Raw genomic sequence first — 17,064 nt, forward strand, 5'->3', positions numbered from 1 at the left:
TATAAAGTTATTAGTCCTACTTTTATAGCTGGGGCAAGCAAGAGTCAGAAAGCAAGGTCCCCTGCCCGGAGTCTCAAAGTTCATCCCTGGAGAGGGTGCCTGCTTCTTCTACCTCTTCTACCGGCTTCCTGAGAACAAAAGTTATCTCTTGTCCTTTGTTCTTTCTCTTCCTGCTAAGTTGATTTGAAGGCTCTGCAGAGCTTCTGGGGTAACCTACGTGCCCCTTTGTTGTGGCTTTCTGAGCACGATGACCTCACCGGCCCACAGCTGGGTCTCCGGTGCTGGGTTCCAGGCACACTCCAGCCTCCTGGCTCACGGATGTCCTGTTGAACCTCACGGATGGCTGGGTGGCAGGAAGAGTCAGTGTGGATGGAATGAGCCTTCCTCAAAAACCCCCACCACCGCTCTTAGTAACCCGGAAAATGCTCTGAAATAGTTGACATTTACAAAGTCTTGGGCATTTGGGGAGAAAAACGTTCTTTTTTTGGCCAGATTTCCAGCATGAAGCCCAAGGGAAATGTCCACGGGCTCAGCACAGTGGTCTAGCATCTCAAAGCAGTGCTTGGCCTGGTGGAGGCCATGGCTTTCCCATCCTGCCCTCTCTCCACATCCAGCAAAGAACAAATGCAGAATCTGGCCTGTCCTCCTGTCCCCACCATGTCCCACAGAGTGGCCCTTTGTGCTGACCCAACACGAAGCACCTGAAAGGCTTGCTCAAGCTGCCGGACTTGAGCAGCTTGAAAGCCACCATCATCAGTGCACCTGCTGTGCCCAGGTGTAAGCCATTGTGTTGTTTAAACTGTGCCACAGCCCTGCCGAGGAAGCCATTGCAATCAAGAGGCTAGGGCCACACACCCTGGAGCCAGACCCCCCAGGTTCAAATCCACACCTACCCCTAGACAACTATGTGATGTCAGGAAGTTCTGTGAAGCTCCTGAGCCTCTGTGTCCCCTTCTTTCAAATGGGGCTGATGATAGGACCTGCCTCACACAGCAGGAGCTTAGCTGGGCCAGCATTTTACATGTGAGTGCTTCACGTTATCGTAGTGTCATAATGGCCACTGCTGTTGAGGAGGGAGCCAGGGCTCAGACGGATAGAGCTGCCTGCCCAAGGTCGCAAGCTCAGGGGTGGCAAGCCAGCACTCCCAGCTTCATGGCCCTGGCTGGAGTCACTTGCAGAGCAGTTGGCCTGGCTCCTCCAGGCTTTTCCGTAGGGTCCTCCCAAGTATTCTAGCCAGTGCTTTTGGGCTCTGCCAGCCATATGGACAGCACCAGGCAGGTAGAGTTCTGAGCACCTGCCCTGTTGGAGCCACCATGGAAGTCACCATCTCTGGCATGGTTCCTTCTTCCAGCCAGTGCACACCAAGTGCCTCCTGCAACCCGTCCTAGGCCCCCGTGCAGAGGACAGCTCACTCACAGGAGGCAGACATGGAAAAGGATGACCATGGGGCCAGGGGGATACCTGAAGTGGTGGGGGCCTCAACAGGGCAAGTCACCCAGAGGGTTCATGCCGCCAGAGCACGGGGTGTGGGGGGCACTGGGTTGTCGGGGACCGTGGGGGATCTGGAGGGGTGCAAGGAGACATGTGAGTTTCATTCTGCGTGCTCTGGGTGGCCTCGGGGCCGCGAAGCAGGGAAGTGGCTGGACCTGACGCATGTCTGTCCAAGCTCCTTGCACGTACCGTGTGGGAAGTGGATTGGAGACAGCAGTGCGGGGCCACTGGGGTCCCACCAGAAACCAGGGCAGCTGGGTGAGGGACGGTCTGGGATGTGGGAGGTGCCCTTGGCTAGCATGGTCAGTGATGGCGGTGGGGACAGCGTGCCTGGTTATGACAGATCTGCTCCTGAGAACGGCGCTGCCTCTGCACATCGTGTAGCAGCTTGGGACAGGCAAAGCATTTCCCATTTGTGATCTCAGTAACCGCAGAGCGTAGTGAGGTGGGAGAGGCTTGAGAGGTGAGCTGACCAGCGCAGGTCACACAACAGGAAGCAGTAGTGTGCTTTGCACTTGGCCCCCACACTGTCCTGAGGTTGAAAGGTTTAAATGACTCGGGCACTGGGGATGTCTGACAGAGCATTCTGTGAGACTCATCGAGCTGCCAGCACTGGGCTAAGTATCTCCACAGCCCAGGTTCACAGCAGGGAGGCAGGTATGGTTACTCTCCCTACTTACCGGGGGAGGAGGCTGAGGCCCAGAGAGGTGAGGTAACTTGCCCGAAGTCACTCAGTGGTAGGTGGTGTTGCTGAAACCCACTGCTAGGCCATCGGACCCCCACAGTCTGCTCAGTCCAGTGTCCAGGGATCCTCCTCAGGGCCCGGGAACCTGACAAAATTCTTGGCCTTGCCCTGGGGGAGCTGTAGTTGGAAGCTGGGGGCACTGTGATCATACTTGCAGCCTCACATGCGTGGCTCCTGGGCACGCCTGTCAGAGCGCTGTGATCAAGCAGGCCTGGAGGTGCCTGTGCTTGGCCCTTGGCACTAAGCAGCTGTCTAGGCTTCATGAGCCGAGTGGCATTTGCCCGATAGGTGTGATGTGTCAACAGCTTTTTCTCCTGCTTTTCACAGCCCCGGCTGGCTCTGAGCTAGAACTCTTTTAAAAATCATAATAAGGCACTGACCTGCAGTGGTACACACTGGTGCAGCCCAGGCACAGGAGCCTCTGCAGTGGAGATTTAAGGTCTGCTGGTCAGGAGCAAATTTAGAATCTTTCTGGAAGGTTCTGGGTCTGGCCAAGAGTGTAGTTAAGCCCTTCAGTGATGTGAGTTTGGGACTTCTTTAGCTTATTGTCTTCATGGATCTACAGAGGTAGGCTTCTGAGGAAAGCAGTGGCTTGTCTTTTTATTCATTCCTTTTTCCAGTAAACTTTTTTATTTTTTTGGAGACAGAGTCTTGCTCTATCACCCAGGCTGGAGTGCAGTGGCACAATCTCAGCTCACTGCAACCTCCGCCCCCCTGGTTCAAGTGATTCTCCTGCCTCAGCCTTCCAAGTAGCTGAGATTACAGGCGCCTGCCACCACGCCTAGCTAATTTTTGTATTTTTAGTAGAAATGGAGTTTCACCATGTTGGCCAGGCTGGTCTCGAACTTCTGACTTCAGGTGATCCACCCGGCCTTGGCCTCCCAAAGTGCAGGGATTACAGGCATGACCCACTGTGCCCGGCCTATCCAGTAAACATTTATTGAGCACCTACTGTGTGCCACGCCCTGTGCTTGGGGTTGGTGACCTGGTGAGCTTGCAGTCTTGTGAGAGTGACAGACAGCATTCAACTAATAACACCCATTACTAATGCATTTATAATACAGAGCCTGGCTGGTCTAGTAGGGATGGGGAAGACATCTTTGAGCAGGTGAGTGGGCAGATATCATGCCAGTCCTCGTTTGACCTCAGTAGGGATGGCACCAGGTTCCAGAGGCTGAAGAAGAGACCTGGTGCCAGCAAATGAGACATAGGGTTCATCAAGGACTTAATGTACAGGGTCAGTCCAGTGGCAGCAGGCTGGGTGGGAAAGCCACAGCCGCTTGTAAAAACCATGCCACTTATATAGCAGTTTCCCTTAGCACCCTCCCCCTAGCAACCTCTACCTGGCAACCTTCATTTAACCTAAAACAAAGGGCTTAAGTGAAGCTACTGCTGTCAGCTGCATCTGCCGTCCAGCAGATCGTGGGAGTGTTCCTCAGAGCAGACAGGATAGGGAATAGCATGTGCAGGGGCGCCCAGGGTGAGAGCAGAGTAGGCTCCCCTGGGTCCCCATCGATGTGACACCTTCTGCACTTGAAGCTGTTAAAGGCATCTTCCATTCATGCATTAGCTCATCGTCAGAACCTCCCTGGGGAAAGGTAGGCATATGTTCATTTTGCAGTTGAGGTTTTCTGAGGCTCAGGGTGGTTAAGTAACTTACCTGGAGTTGCACAGCTAGTGCACAGCAAAGCCAGTGTCCTATCCTGGCTTGGCCTGACCCTGGCCTCCTGCTCTGTGTTCTCATTTTTTATTCTTATTCCCTATCCTGTGTTGTTACTGATAAGGCTCAGAGGCCTGCCAGAAGGATCAGAACCCCATAATTATCAAGCCCATTGGAGGATAATTCTAAGTCATTGACCTTAAATCTGCAAACCCAGAACCTTGCCTTGAGAGTGCCTCCTAGCCCTGTCGCTCGGCACTTTCTCAGAATACTACTAGGCTGGTCATCTCCCAAGCTACCTTATCCACCTTAGAGTGAATACATCTCTGAAACTTGGTAGGGAACTGCACCCAAATGAGCAAATCATGCTATCCCAGGAGAGCAAGGAGCTGAGTGAACATCCATCCTCTTGGGGCGTCCCTGCAGCCTGCAGCTGGACAGCGGCCTCAGTCTCCTGTTGCCAGGGGTGACGAGGCCTGCTCAGCTCAGCATAGCCCTTGGGTCAGCTCTTTGCTCCTCCAGGCAGACAGCTGTGTTCATTCTCCGTCCTGTACCTCCACAACTTCTGTGGGACAGCCAACTAGATGATCAGGAAGCCACTCAACTGGAACCTCACAATGGCAAAGAAAAGCCACCCTCCCCTCAGCTGAGAGGGACCTACAGGCAGCCCTAACAGTGCCTAGGTGCCCAGAGGCATGGTTCTTTTGGAAGTACGGAGCCCTCATGCCTGTAGGATCTTCCCCAGCTTGAGGCCCACGCCTGAGCCAGGCCAGCCCTGTGGTCCTCGGCCCTAGCTGTGCATTTTTAAAATCACCTTGAAAGCTTTTAGAAAAGCCCAACATCCAGGCCTAACCCAGTTAAGTCACAGTGAAGAGAGGGCCGTTGGTGACATTCTCTTCTGTAGGAGCAGTGGCTCTAGCGTGCTTGGGGTAGGAGGGATTCTGGGTATAGGAGTGGGATGTTTTGTGCGCTGGGGCCAGTTTCAGGAGAGGCCAATTCCACAAAGCTTGTCATGCCTTGGGGGACGGCTGTGCTAAGAACTGGGAAATGGGTTCTGGATGGCCCTGCCCTCATGGAGTTCATGGTGTCCTGGGGCTAACTCACTTTTGTACCAGACCTAGAGCAGGGAAGGCTCTGGAAGGAAGTCTTAAAGGATGAGCTAGGTTTCACGTGGTGCATCCCGGCAGGGGGAATGAGCGGGCTGTGAAAACCACCATGTGCACATGGGTCCTGCAGGCAGCCTGAGGATAGGGGTCAGCAGGAGATAAAGCCACGTGGGAATGGCCCCTGCTCCCGATTACCTGTCCTGGACTTGGTTGGAGGGCCCAGGGAATAGCTGATGGGCTTCAAGCAGAGGGCGAAGGTCCCACTCTACTCCGACCACACACAGCCCTTGGAGCGGGAAAACAGTCACTGATGGGGCCGGCCTTAGGGCGGGCTACCCGTGGGGCCCGATGACCCACACTTAGCTGGAAGGAAGAGGCAGCCAACAACACTTCCTTGAGTCACACAGCTGGAGCCCAAATCCACCCATTAGTCCAGGACCAAAGCCAATGTCATCCGCGGCCTCTCCCACTCCTGCATCCAGTCCCTCCCCAAGCCTGTCAGCTCTACCTGGGAGATGCAGTCATGACAAGGACCTCTCACCACCACACCTGTCTCCTGGGCAAAGGGCTGGGTAACTTCTTTAAGCAGCAGAGAGTCAGGCTTTTAGGGCCATATGGTCTCTGTCGCAACAAGCCTCTCCCATTGCAGCCAAAGCAGCTGTAGAGCATACGTTACCAAGTGGGTGGGGCTGTGCCCCCATCAGTCTTCCCTGGCAGGACAGCAGGTGGCTGGATTTGGCCCGCAGGGCATTGTGTGCTGACTCCTGACCTTGGCCAAGCCTGGGCCGGTGGCTTTAAACTCAGCCCCACTGTTGCTCTCCTTGCCCTCTATGGTCCATTCTTAGCACCAAAGATCCTTTCAGGGTGTGAGTCGGGTCAAGTGTCTCCTCTACTTAGATTCTTCGCTGGCTCCCATCACTCAGATGAAAGCCAAAGTCCTCACGGTAGCCCCACGTTTTACACAGTTTGGTCCCTCTGCACTTCCTGACACTAACCTCACCCCCGCCATGGTCCCCTTGGCCCACTTCAAGGCAACTTAAGGGGCCTCTCCGCAGCCTTGACCTTGCTAGGTATGCTCCTATTTGGAGGGCCCTGACCTGGGTGGCCTCTGTTTGGAGAAGTCGCCCTGGGTACCTATGTGGCTCTGTCCTTGCTTCCTTCAGATCATTCTTCAGACCTCACCATCTCAGAAGGTCTTGCCAGATATTCTATATAGTGGCAACCCTGTCCCCACTCCCAGCACTCCAGGGGTCTCTACCTTGCTCATTCCTTCAGAGCACTCAACCTCTCCTGACATTTTCTACTCCTTGACTGGCCCTGCCCTGTCCCATCCCATTATCAAACTGTAAGCTCCAGGAAAACAGGCACTGTGTTTTGTTTACAGCTGAATTTCCAAGTCCTGGGCTATACCAGACATATAGGTAGTGCTTGGTAAGTACTGGATAAATGGATCGATGGATGGATATTTGGATATAGAGGGATGAATGAATAAATAGATGAATATAGAGGATGGATAAATGGGTAAAGGGGTAGATGGATGAATGGATGTAGAGGGAGGGAGGGAGGGATGGGTGTAGAAGGATGGATGGGTATAGAAGGATGGAGGTGGAGGGAGAGGGGATGGATGGATGTAGAGGGATTGATGGATGGGTAGAGAGGGATGGATGGGTAGGTGGATTGATTGGTGTACAGGGATAGATAGAAGCCTGGATAGATAGATGGACTGGCAGATGGGTAAATGGGTAGGTGGCTGCTGGGTGGATAGATGGATAGAGGTGCAGGAATGGATGGGTGGATGGCCGGATGGGAGGGAGGGAGGGAGAGAGGGATGGATGGATGGTGGAGCCAACAGATCTTTAATCCCCCCTTCTGTGTGCTAAACATTGTTCACTGGGGACTCAGGGGTTAGTCAAACAAAACACATCAGCCCCTTTGGAGCTCATGGGCACTGTGGACACCTTAGATAGTCTAGAACTTCCCACCATGTTTGGTGCCCTCAGGGAACTGGCAGATGCTGAGTTAATGTCCAGTAAGGGGATCTGACCCAGACCAGGTGTCTGGGAAGGCTTCTCTGAGGAAAGGATGTTGACCTGGGAGGAGGAGGTAGAGGAAGAGCGCCGAGAACCTTGTGTCCCAGACAGGGGCTGCCATAGACAGGAGAGCATTGATGTCTCAGCCCACAGGCTGCCCAATCCCCAAGGAATGAATATGTTGCTGCCCGTTTGACACCTGGCAACAGTTTGGCTAGGCACAGAATTCCCCTTTGTCATCAATTTCCGCCCTGGCCAGATAAGGGGAGCTGAGACCCCAGTCCTGTATCCCAGGTAGATATTCAGCCCAGCATGCCCTGCCGTGGCCCTGACTACTCGCATCATTAGTACAAAAGGAGGAATTTGACCTGGGATATTTTCCTGTAATGAATTCTTTGGAAAGGGAAAGTTCTTGGACTTGGGCCTGATTTGAAGATGAAATGTTTTGAGCCACGTGCAAGAGAATGGCCGACAGAACCTGGAGGGCAAGGTTCTCTGAAGGCGAGGTTCCAGGTTGTTCTGCAGAGCAGGGTTAGGAGTAAAGTGTTTGTAATCCCCTGCTGCAAGCTCTACTCAGAACTTCTTAGGTAGGGGATGAAAATGTTCTAAATTGATTGTGGAGGTGGTTGCACAACTCTATGAATACACTTAAAGTCCATGAATTGTACACTTTAAATGGATTCATTGTACAGTATGTGAATTCTATCTCAATGAAACTGTTGTATTAAAAAATACAGCTCTCAACTTGTCAGACTGTCACAAAGCTGTCATCCGACAGCACATAAAGACCAGATTATCTCATTTGTGTCCCATTTTGATCATAAAATAGTTCAATGTATGTAACATTTTCCTTAAAGCAGTCCAAATGTAAAAAAAGAAGTTGGAACCTGCAACACATTCCGGAATAATTTGGAAACCTTGATGCAATCCAGACTCACCTGGCACCCTTTCTCTTCCCTAAAACGTGCCTTTTTTCCATTTCTTTTTGACTTTGAGAAAAAAACTCTGTTCTTACTGGTAAAATAGCCTCCTGTTTCCTTTTCTTTCCTGTAAATTATGAGATAAGTTTGCATTTCATACCTTTCCAGAAATCTCTGTTGATTGTGGTCTGACCTCAGATTCATGATTTCTGGGAAAGAAAGAATTAGAATCACTGCTGTGAACATTAGAAGTGCGGTGAGTAGTTCGTGTTGTGGATTTGAGATGGAAAACAGGTGACCAGTACCTGTTTGTTGTTCCGGAACTTATTTCCTGGTGCTGCTAGATGGTATGCCGGCAACCACGTCCAACTCATGCCAATGACTTTTAAAAATGTCATCTCAAATGCCACATGTTATGTCTTGGATGTAGTTAGGGCTAGTTGTGGCCTTTTTGTATGGTAGAAACCTCCACCTCCTGGTGGAGGAGGTCTGGAGGCACTAGAACTTGACAATACAGGTACTGTTTATTGAGCAATTACTGCATATCAGACACTGTGCCAAGCAAGGTTGTGTGTACTCTTCTCACTTAATCCTCACAATGATGTATGACATAGGGATTATTTCCCCCATATTATGCCAGGGAAATGGAGGCTCAAGGCTACAATTTCCATTACACAGCCAGTCAGCATCAGGGCTGTGGCTTGAACCCATGTCTGTCTGCCACCAAAGCCCACCATCTTAGCTTATATTATGCGCCTCCGTTTCCCTGTCCATACTCCAGCCTTTAGACTCCCAGGCCAGTGCTCCATCCCCTGTATGGCCAGGAAAGCACAGCCATCTTGTAGGACCAGGAGCAGTTCAAATAATGAGCCAACGGCTGGCACCCTTTCTCCGAGCACAGCGATGCACCAGAATGCTCTCCCTCCTGTGACAGGTGATGTGCGCTTCAGCTCAGGCCCAGAAGAGCCACAAAAGAGAAGCTCCAGCAGTTCTGTGTAGGAGGCAGGATGTACTTCTATCCATAGAAGGGCTCTCATGATTATTTATTAATTGTGAAAGGGAAGAAAAAACTAATAGAGTTTCCCGGAAAGGGATACAAGTTCAATATGATAAACTCCCAAAAAGCAATCAAAGGCCAAAGAGGGCAGAAAAATAAAGGACAGGGAGAAAGAGAGATGGTGAATCAAAGTGGCCAGTATGTTAGCAGAGGCCAGGGGAGGGGCCAGGCTTCACAGCCAGGGAGGTGTGGGGCTGTCGGAGCACAAGTCACCAGTGGTGGTGAGTCAGGCAGGCAGCGGGACTTGACCCCATGGGGTCACTGAGGCCCTGGGGATGAGCTGATAACAGGAATGGATGGAACCGGTCAGCTGTTTTGCTATTACTGCAGACCCGTTGTATTAATTTTTGTGCATTAATACATGAACGTAGAATATTATAAATGAAAACTGAGAAGCTACAGGAAGAAGAAATCACAATCCTATCAACCCAGAAGAAAGCATTGTTAATATTTCTGTTTATTTTCCACTTCTGTCTTCCCTGTTTTGTCTCTTTCTCTCATTTAAAAAAAAAAATACATGAGTTGATTGTTGATTTTTGAAAAAATCAGGCTGGGCACAGTGGCTCATGCCTGTAATCTCAACACTTTGGGAGGCTGAGGCAGGCAGATTGCCTGAGCTCAAGAGTTCAAGACCAGCCTGAGCAACATGGCAAAACCCCATCTCCACTAAAAATATAAATAGCTGGGCATGATGGTGCCCACCGGTAATCCCAGCTACTTGGGAAGCTGAGACATGAGAATGGCTTGAACCTGGGAGGCAGAGGTTGCAGTGAGCCAAGATCACACCAGTTCACTCCAGCCTGGGTGACAAAGTGAGACTGTCTTAAAAAAAAAAAAAAAATTGCAACATTGCAGGTGCGACTTAAGACCCCATCAGTTACCACCCTTCCTCAGTCATCATTTGCCTTATTTTTATTTTTCCAGACCCTTCTCTGTGCAGTTGCATTTCATACATGTGCCAGAGCTGATGAACAGAACAGAGCCACCACCCCTTCTCTGCAATTCTGAAACCCAAACAGCTCTGAAAATCAAAATATTTTTCCTAACTCGTATGATGGCAAAACCAAAACCTGCCTTCAGGTATTTATGGGCGGGTTTATTAGAGTCATTGATGCCAGTAATTGTGAGTTTATGTTTTCGTTTCTGCAAAAATTCAGTGTTTGGTTTTAGCTGCTCACGACCCAGCTGACAGTGTAACGTAATACCTATGTGTGCCCTACATGGCCTTTTACCTCCTAAAGATTCTAAATTCCAAGACATATCTGGCCACAGAGGTTTAGGATAAGGAGTTAAGTATGGATCTGTAATTGTGTTAAGGTTTGGGCTTCCCTTAAATAAAATCATAATTCTGTATACCCTGCTGCACCTTGCTCTTTTCAGACACCACTGTAAATCAGGAATCTGTGTTAGCACTTACAGATTTCACACATTCCTTTTCACGGCTGCATAGTATTCCAAAGCTTGGCTACTTGCGTTTCTTTGGCTGAGTGATTCAGTCATCCTAGTCTTTTTCTATCCCGGGCAGCGTTGCAGTGGGCATCCTTGGGCACACCTCTCTCTGTGTGCACGTGCAGTACAAGAAGCAGAACTGCCAAGTCACAAGGTTTTGTTTTCACAACATTGCCATCATGTCAGAAGCACTTCCCTGTACTGTAAAATGCCTCTTCTAAACTTCATTCTTGATGACTGCATAATAGTCCATTGTCTGAGTGTTAGTTTCCTGAGGTGGCCATAACAAAGTCCCACAAACTGGGTGGCATAAACAGCAGAAATTGATTGTCTCACAGGTCTGGAGGGTAGAAGTGCAAAATCAAGGTATTGGCAGGGCTGGTTTCCTCTGAGGGGTGTGAGGAGGACTCTGGTCCAGGCCTCCCTCCTTGGCTTCTGGTGTTTTGCTGGCAATCTTTGCTACTTTTTGGCTCATAGAAGTATCACCCCAGTCTTGCCTTCATCTTCACGTGATGTTCTACCTGTGTGAAAATCTGCGTCCAAATTTTCATTTTTTAGGAGGCACAGACATATTGGATTAGGACCAAACCTAATGACCTCATTTTAACTAATTGCATCTGTAAAATGACCCCATTTCCAAACGAGGTCACATTCTGAGTCTGAGGTACTAGAGGTTAGGACTTCAACCTAAGAATTTGAAGGGGACACAGTGAAACACAAAACAGTCTGAATTTGCCAGATTTTACTTAATCCGCTTATACTGGCCACTTACGTTGTTTCTACTACCTTATGAAGCACCCTATGACAAACATCCTTATTCAGAAATCTTGGTCTACATTTCCAATTATTCCTCCAGAAACCATTCCTTAGAGTCAGGGGGACTGTCCATTTGTCAGGCTCTGGGTGGCACCTTGCCAAATTGCCTTCCAGAAAGCAGAGTAGGGGGATGCCCACCTGGTCACACCTGGGCCCTTGTCTTCATTCACCTGGGCTCTCAGATGACTCCTGCCCAGTGCTCCAGGCTGAAGTCCTCTGCACATATGTGTGCGCCTCTGCCAGCATGTGCACAGGCATTGTTTCTATCAAGTCACTTTTTTATTTCTCATTCCTGCCAAAAAGAGAGAGAGTCTATGGGTTAATAGCAAAGTAGAAACCGTAGCTCAAAATGTCTGTTTGGGGCATGTACTCTTGCATCTGTATAGATGAATAGAGATTTCAGAAATACTGGGCCCTCTGGGCCTCAGGCATTAAATCAATCAGTGCAATTTCACTCACAGGGCAGCTTGCCAAGGGAGCCCAGGAGAGAGTAGCGACTTCTCTGATTTAGTTCAGTCCGTTAAGCTCATGGCAGCCTGCACCAGCTCACTGTTGCAAAAGGCAATCAAGTAATGAGTACTCAGCCACTTTCGGGGGGCGGGGGCCGGCTGGGGAAGGGGCTCTCTGGAGCCTTTCAAATGGAGCCAACTTTTGATAGCTTTTTAGGGTAGTTCTGAGAGCTGGAGACGGGTGAGGAACCCGGGAAGTGAGAGCTTAATTAACGGAACTACAGAGAATGAGGCAGCAAAGGAATCTCTCAGAGAACCAGGGGGTTTTGTGTGTGTGATGAGCAAAAGGATAGAACTAGGTGCTTGAGTACTGCCGGCTAGGAACCAGCATTGAACAGCAGATGCCTAACTCAGCACAGCAAGGGCCAGCTTAGCACAGAGACCAGAGAGCAAGATGCGCGGAAGGATAAATTTAGCCTGCATTTCAGGGGAAAACATCGATCTCAAATGTAGTGCTGTCTTTTAAAAGAAAGTGGAAGCCTTAGGCCGGTCATCTGGGACAATTTCACTTGAACAGCTAAAAGCCCAGGAAAAACGAGTGCTCATAACCAGCTCATGCTGCTAGCACACCCACAAGATCTTCCCTCTGCAGGCGGGCGGCTGGTGTCTGCATGGGTCTGACAGATGGTCCTCCTGCTACCCTTATCTGTTCCCAGGAAAAGGTGCTGCCTTGTTTTCTGGAGAGATTTGGGGTTTCTATTTCTGATCCCAAATGTTCATCTTCATGAGGAATGACGGGGGGCCCAAGCTCTGTGTTTGCTCAGCTGCTGGTCCAGGACATTGACATCTGGTGGGTTGCACCTGTCAGAGCAGGGCCAGTGCCAATCCCCTCTGTTGTCTAGAAGCTGAGCAAAAGACATCAGTTACTGGTGTCTGTAGATAGGGTTGTTTTGTTTGTTTTTAACCAGGTCCCCTGTAGCATTCACACAGCATCCTGAGCATTGTTTCTACCTGGTCAAAGCTAAGGGCACCACTGTGGTCCCAAATAATAGAGCACCTGTCCTAATGACGTTCCCACAATCTCGCCAGTCAGGTGGTGACGGCATCTTTCCTCCAGCCTCCCTCTGACACTGCTCCCCTGTGTCAAAGGGGAAGAAAGTCCAGTCTGTCAATATTTGGGGCACTAATCATCTGCGTTCGGGCGCCAGGGGTCATTGAAAGGCTGAGACGCTTCCAGGAATTCATGGCTCTAAAACCGTGGGGCTGACTGGAAAGGATCTCCAGCGAGGGTATGAAGAAAGAAACCCAAATCTCCACTCCACCCCGACCCCGCAGCCTCTGAGCATTGTCCATTGTGTCTTGGGTTCTTGGGAAGAAATGAAGTCAATGCACATAGTGATGTGGGCCCAAGTTAATAATAAATGTAGAGGAAGGAGAAAGGATGTTCAATATTTAAACATTTCAGAGCGCTGTGTTTGTTTGCCAGTTACTGCCCTCCGCCTGCTTCCTGGATGGGTTCTGTAAAACGGAGCCTTCCTTCCCCAACTGTGCAATTGGCATCTGACACCAGCGATTTACATAGAAAGGGAAATGGTGCCTTTTCTAGGTAGTCCCCGTGCCAGCAGGACTCCTTCTCGTTTTCTGTTGCCTTTCTTGAAGGAAGAGGATGACAACATAGAAACTAAGGTTTTTATGACCCCTGGAGCACTTGTGAGGAGTTGACAGCTTTAGGGTCATGTCCAGAGTTGTCTTAATTTTCCCAGATTTGCTTCTTTGAAACTGTCTCATATTTTAACATAAATGTTGTGCTTTGGTTCTTACCTCTAACAGATTAAAAAGGCTAAACAATGAAACGTACAGTTGTGTTTAAGAAACGTCACTCTAAGTATACATACTAGATACGTTCCTTAAAAGTTGCCTGTAATGCAGAATTCTGTGAATCAATTCCTCCTTTCTTCTTGACGCACATTATAGAAAAGGAAAAGCATTCCTTCTGGGGGAGGGAAAAACATCTGACCCCAAGACATAATAAAATCATGCTTAAGAATACAGTAAACTTTAAAGTCTCTTAGTTAAAGGAAATCAATACTTTTATGATGAAATATTAATAATACTAAAAAAATAAGTCAAAACTACAAATGCATAATAGCTAGGGTGATTTTTAATGTTGGACACATTAGCTCAGCATTTGTGAGGAGGAACAAAGGGAAAAGAGAGCAACCTAGCCCATTTGAGAAGCCCTTCTGGTTCCTAATAAGTCCCCTTTTTGTGGGTCATCTGTCAAGAAGACACACACCTCCCCATAAGTGCCAACCTTATTTCTAAGCATTTTGTTGAAGCTACCGATTTTGGAAATGAAAGGATGAATGTAGCTGGAGAGAGGAACACACACAGGTGTGTACACACGCACACTCCTGCACACACATGCGCAGACAGGGCAAAGAGAAATGGAGAATTGGGGAAAGCCATTTATTTGTTTGAATACACTGCTGGCTGTTCCCTCCGTCCCCATCCTCCATGAATTATTCTGGTAGGGATCTTTAAGAGGGATGGACTTAGAGTAGATTGAACCATATGAAATGGCTGTTTCTGTAGGTCAAGTTAGTTGAATATTGGCAGTTGCATATGGTTCAAGCTCATCCATTCAACTCTCTATCAAAGAAATGCAAATAGAATAGTCATGTGTCTTGAATGCAGTGTAACATGAGGTTTTTAAGAATCTAGATGAAAATAACTTCATTTTTCTCGTAAACGATTTTCATATAAATCCTTTAAACCTAGATATTTAAAGTTCCTTTAGAAAGGCTCTCTCATGTCTCACTTTGTTAACTCCTAAAATCTTCAGTCATAACAGCTAATGTGAGGAAGACTTTTGTTTTGTGTTGCGTTCTTTTCTCCAAAGAGCTGGGCCATTTCTTTTGCTACATACCCCTTTGTCTAAAGACACTTACGAAAATGAAAGTCCCAGGACAGGCGTGGGGGCTCACATCTGTAATCCCAGCACTTTGGGAGGCTGAGGTGGGCGGATCACCTGAGGTCAGGAGTTCGAGACCAGCCTGACCAACATGGTGAAACCCCATTTCTACTAAAAATACAAAAAAATTAGACAGGTGTGGTGGCAGTTGCCTATAATCCCAGCTACTTGGGAGGCTGAGGTAAGAGAATCACTTGAACCTGGGAGTCGGAGGTTGTAGTGAGCTGAGATCGTGCCATTGCACTCCAGTCTGGGCAACAGAGCGGGACTCCATCTCAAAAATAAATAAATAAATAAAACCCACCACTACAAAAAACAGAAAAATTACCCAGGTGTGGTGGTGTGCACCTGTAGTCCCAGCTACACGGGAGGCTGAGGTGGGAGGATCAGCTGAGCCTGGCGAGGTCAAGAGGCTGCAGTGAGCCGGGATCATGCCACTGCACTCCAGGCTTGGTGACAGAGTGAGACCCTGTCTCCAAAAAAAGAGAAGAAAATCCCAGTTATTGCCTCATTGGGCCCAAGTTCCAGGCACCGTAAATTCCAGCCGAGGAATCAAAACAGCGAGTGCTACCTGAACATTTAGATTGCGTTAATGCTTTCATCCTCACGAACCCTGTAAGGTGTGGTGGTGTCACTCTGCTTTAGAGTGACAACAGTGCTTTAGAGGACACAGGCTCGTGGGGTGAACAGGTCCCCTGCTGTCACATGCCCAGAGCCACGGCACTCTCCTCACCACCGTATCCTGTAGCCAGAGTAAAAGTGACAAGCCTAAAGCCAAGTTGCTGCTCTTCAGGTTTCTCCCCTGCAGATAGCAGAAGGCTCGTGTCCAGCCGTCCGGTTAGCCATGTCCCACAGGTCTGCCAGGGCAGACGTCAACAGAGCCCTGTCCACTTAACAACCTCAGCTGTGGGTTTTTGAAGCTTGTTCTGTGCTGTTATCCATCACGGCCTTTCTGTGGCTCCGCACATACTCCCTGATTCTATCTGACTCACATAGTTCCAGATAGTATCTTCAGTTCTTGTTGTAGATGATGTGTCATAGAACGTCATCAGCCATCGGTCTGGCCTAGCCCCAATCTGTTAAAACACACGGTAGGAGAGACTTTGGTGAGGTGACCCAGCTGCAGAAGTTAACTACCCCACCCTGCAAAGTCGGAGTCCTGGCGAACACAAGCAAATGGAATGGGTCCACAGGCATGGTGCTCTCTGCCTTGGGTGCATACTAAGTATGTGTCAACGGCAGGTGCCTTTTGCAGAGAATCAAGACTAATTCCCTGGCCCCTTTGTACAGTGCCACCTCCTAGAACACACGGAGCAGGCCAAACATGTCAGTGTAGGATACACACTGTACGGCCTCCCTGCTTCTGGCCAAAAAGGTCAAAATGGGGCTGATGGGATAAGAGACTTGCTGGGGAAGAATCTGGCGCTCCTGGCCGGGCATGGTGGCTCATGCCTGTAATCCCAGCACTTTGGGAGGCCAAGACGGCTGGATCACCTGAGGTCAGGAGTTTGAGACCAGCCTGGCCAACATGGTGAAACCCATCTCTACTAAAAATACAAAAACAAAAAAAATTAGTGGAGCATGGTGGCGCACACCTGCAGTCCCAGCTACTTGGGAGGCTGAGGCAGGAGAATCACTTGAATGCGGGAGGCAGAGGTTGCTCTGAGCCAGGATTGTGCCACTGCACTCCAGCCTGGGTGACAGAGTGAGACTCCATCTCAAAAAAAAAAAAAAAAAACACAACTAATCTGCCACTCCTTGGCCAGCCAGAACCTTGGGGGGCCATCCTTTGCAAGCAGGGCCATAGTGACCCACCCTGCTCCTGGTGCATTCCTGATTCTGCTCCAGCTGGGGTCAGTGAGCGCCTGTGCCTGGGAGTCTCCTGGGTGCTGTCTAACCCGCCTTCCTCCTGCTGCCGTTTCAGCCCTGCTGACTGCCGCAGTAGAGAGGCAGCCCAGATGGCCGCTCCCAAGCTTGCTAGTGCCTTGGCTGACAGACTGTTGTGGAGGTCTTTGCTTGCTAATTTACAGACGGTAATACCAGTGGAAGAGGGCAGGGGCTGGGCGAGGCAGGGACTGGGTCCTTGGGAATCAAGCCCAGCCCTGGCGACCTTCAGTTCTAGAAATCCAAAGCAAGGTTGCACCACTGCGAGAGATTCCAAGATCTGGTCCACCTGTGTCCCCCATGTGCCATCCAACCCTCTGTGGCCTGGATAGGTGCTCATGTAAGATGCACGCATTCCTCATATTCACACAGCCCAAATGCCCGCCCCCCCCCCCACCCACCCCCTGCCGGTAGCAAAAGGGGCATTAGACTTGGCAGCCCTCACAGGCAGACCTTCACCCGACAGCAAAAACATTTCTAAGG

General features: G+C 49.7%; 1 protein-coding gene across 27 annotated transcripts in view, besides 4 other annotated features; it reads left to right on the forward strand.

The window, feature by feature from the left end:
- Positions 1 to 17,064, forward strand: part of CLEC16A (C-type lectin domain containing 16A) — a 237,623-nt gene that overhangs the window by 195,389 nt on the left and 25,170 nt on the right. For 5 of the 27 annotated variants that reach the window (XM_011522438.4, XM_047433861.1, XM_047433858.1 and 2 more), the window contains one exon: positions 9,934 to 10,362. The exons of 20 other annotated variants lie outside the window; for them this stretch is intronic. In XM_011522438.4, the coding sequence (XP_011520740.1) occupies positions 9,934 to 9,977 (44 nt within the window). In that variant the 3' untranslated portion in view covers positions 9,978 to 10,362. Of the gene's footprint in view, positions 1 to 9,933; positions 10,363 to 16,621; positions 16,731 to 17,064 lie in introns of those variants that run through there. 2 more of the 27 variants (XM_005255215.5, XM_024450218.2) reach the window with 1 other exon arrangement.
- Positions 196 to 774: an enhancer, noted in NCBI's record as "NANOG-H3K27ac-H3K4me1 hESC enhancer chr16:11234005-11234583 (GRCh37/hg19 assembly coordinates)". NCBI's record gives its function as "activates a minimal SCP1, AML or CMV promoter by ChIP-STARR-seq in naive H9 embryonic stem cells {active_cell/tissue: H9 hESC(naive)}" and the evidence as "EXISTENCE:reporter gene assay evidence [ECO:0000049][PMID:30033119]".
- Positions 775 to 1,352: an enhancer, noted in NCBI's record as "NANOG-H3K27ac-H3K4me1 hESC enhancer chr16:11234584-11235161 (GRCh37/hg19 assembly coordinates)". NCBI's record gives its function as "activates a minimal SCP1, AML or CMV promoter by ChIP-STARR-seq in naive H9 embryonic stem cells {active_cell/tissue: H9 hESC(naive)}" and the evidence as "EXISTENCE:reporter gene assay evidence [ECO:0000049][PMID:30033119]".
- Positions 1,353 to 1,931: an enhancer, noted in NCBI's record as "H3K27ac-H3K4me1 hESC enhancer chr16:11235162-11235740 (GRCh37/hg19 assembly coordinates)". NCBI's record gives its function as "activates a minimal SCP1, AML or CMV promoter by ChIP-STARR-seq in naive H9 embryonic stem cells {active_cell/tissue: H9 hESC(naive)}" and the evidence as "EXISTENCE:reporter gene assay evidence [ECO:0000049][PMID:30033119]".
- Positions 4,986 to 5,653: an enhancer, noted in NCBI's record as "H3K27ac-H3K4me1 hESC enhancer chr16:11238795-11239462 (GRCh37/hg19 assembly coordinates)". NCBI's record gives its function as "activates a minimal SCP1, AML or CMV promoter by ChIP-STARR-seq in naive H9 embryonic stem cells {active_cell/tissue: H9 hESC(naive)}" and the evidence as "EXISTENCE:reporter gene assay evidence [ECO:0000049][PMID:30033119]".

This window comes from Homo sapiens, chromosome 16, assembly GCF_000001405.40.
Source record: "Homo sapiens chromosome 16, GRCh38.p14 Primary Assembly".
In the NCBI taxonomy this organism is placed as follows: Eukaryota; Metazoa; Chordata; class Mammalia; order Primates; family Hominidae; genus Homo; species Homo sapiens.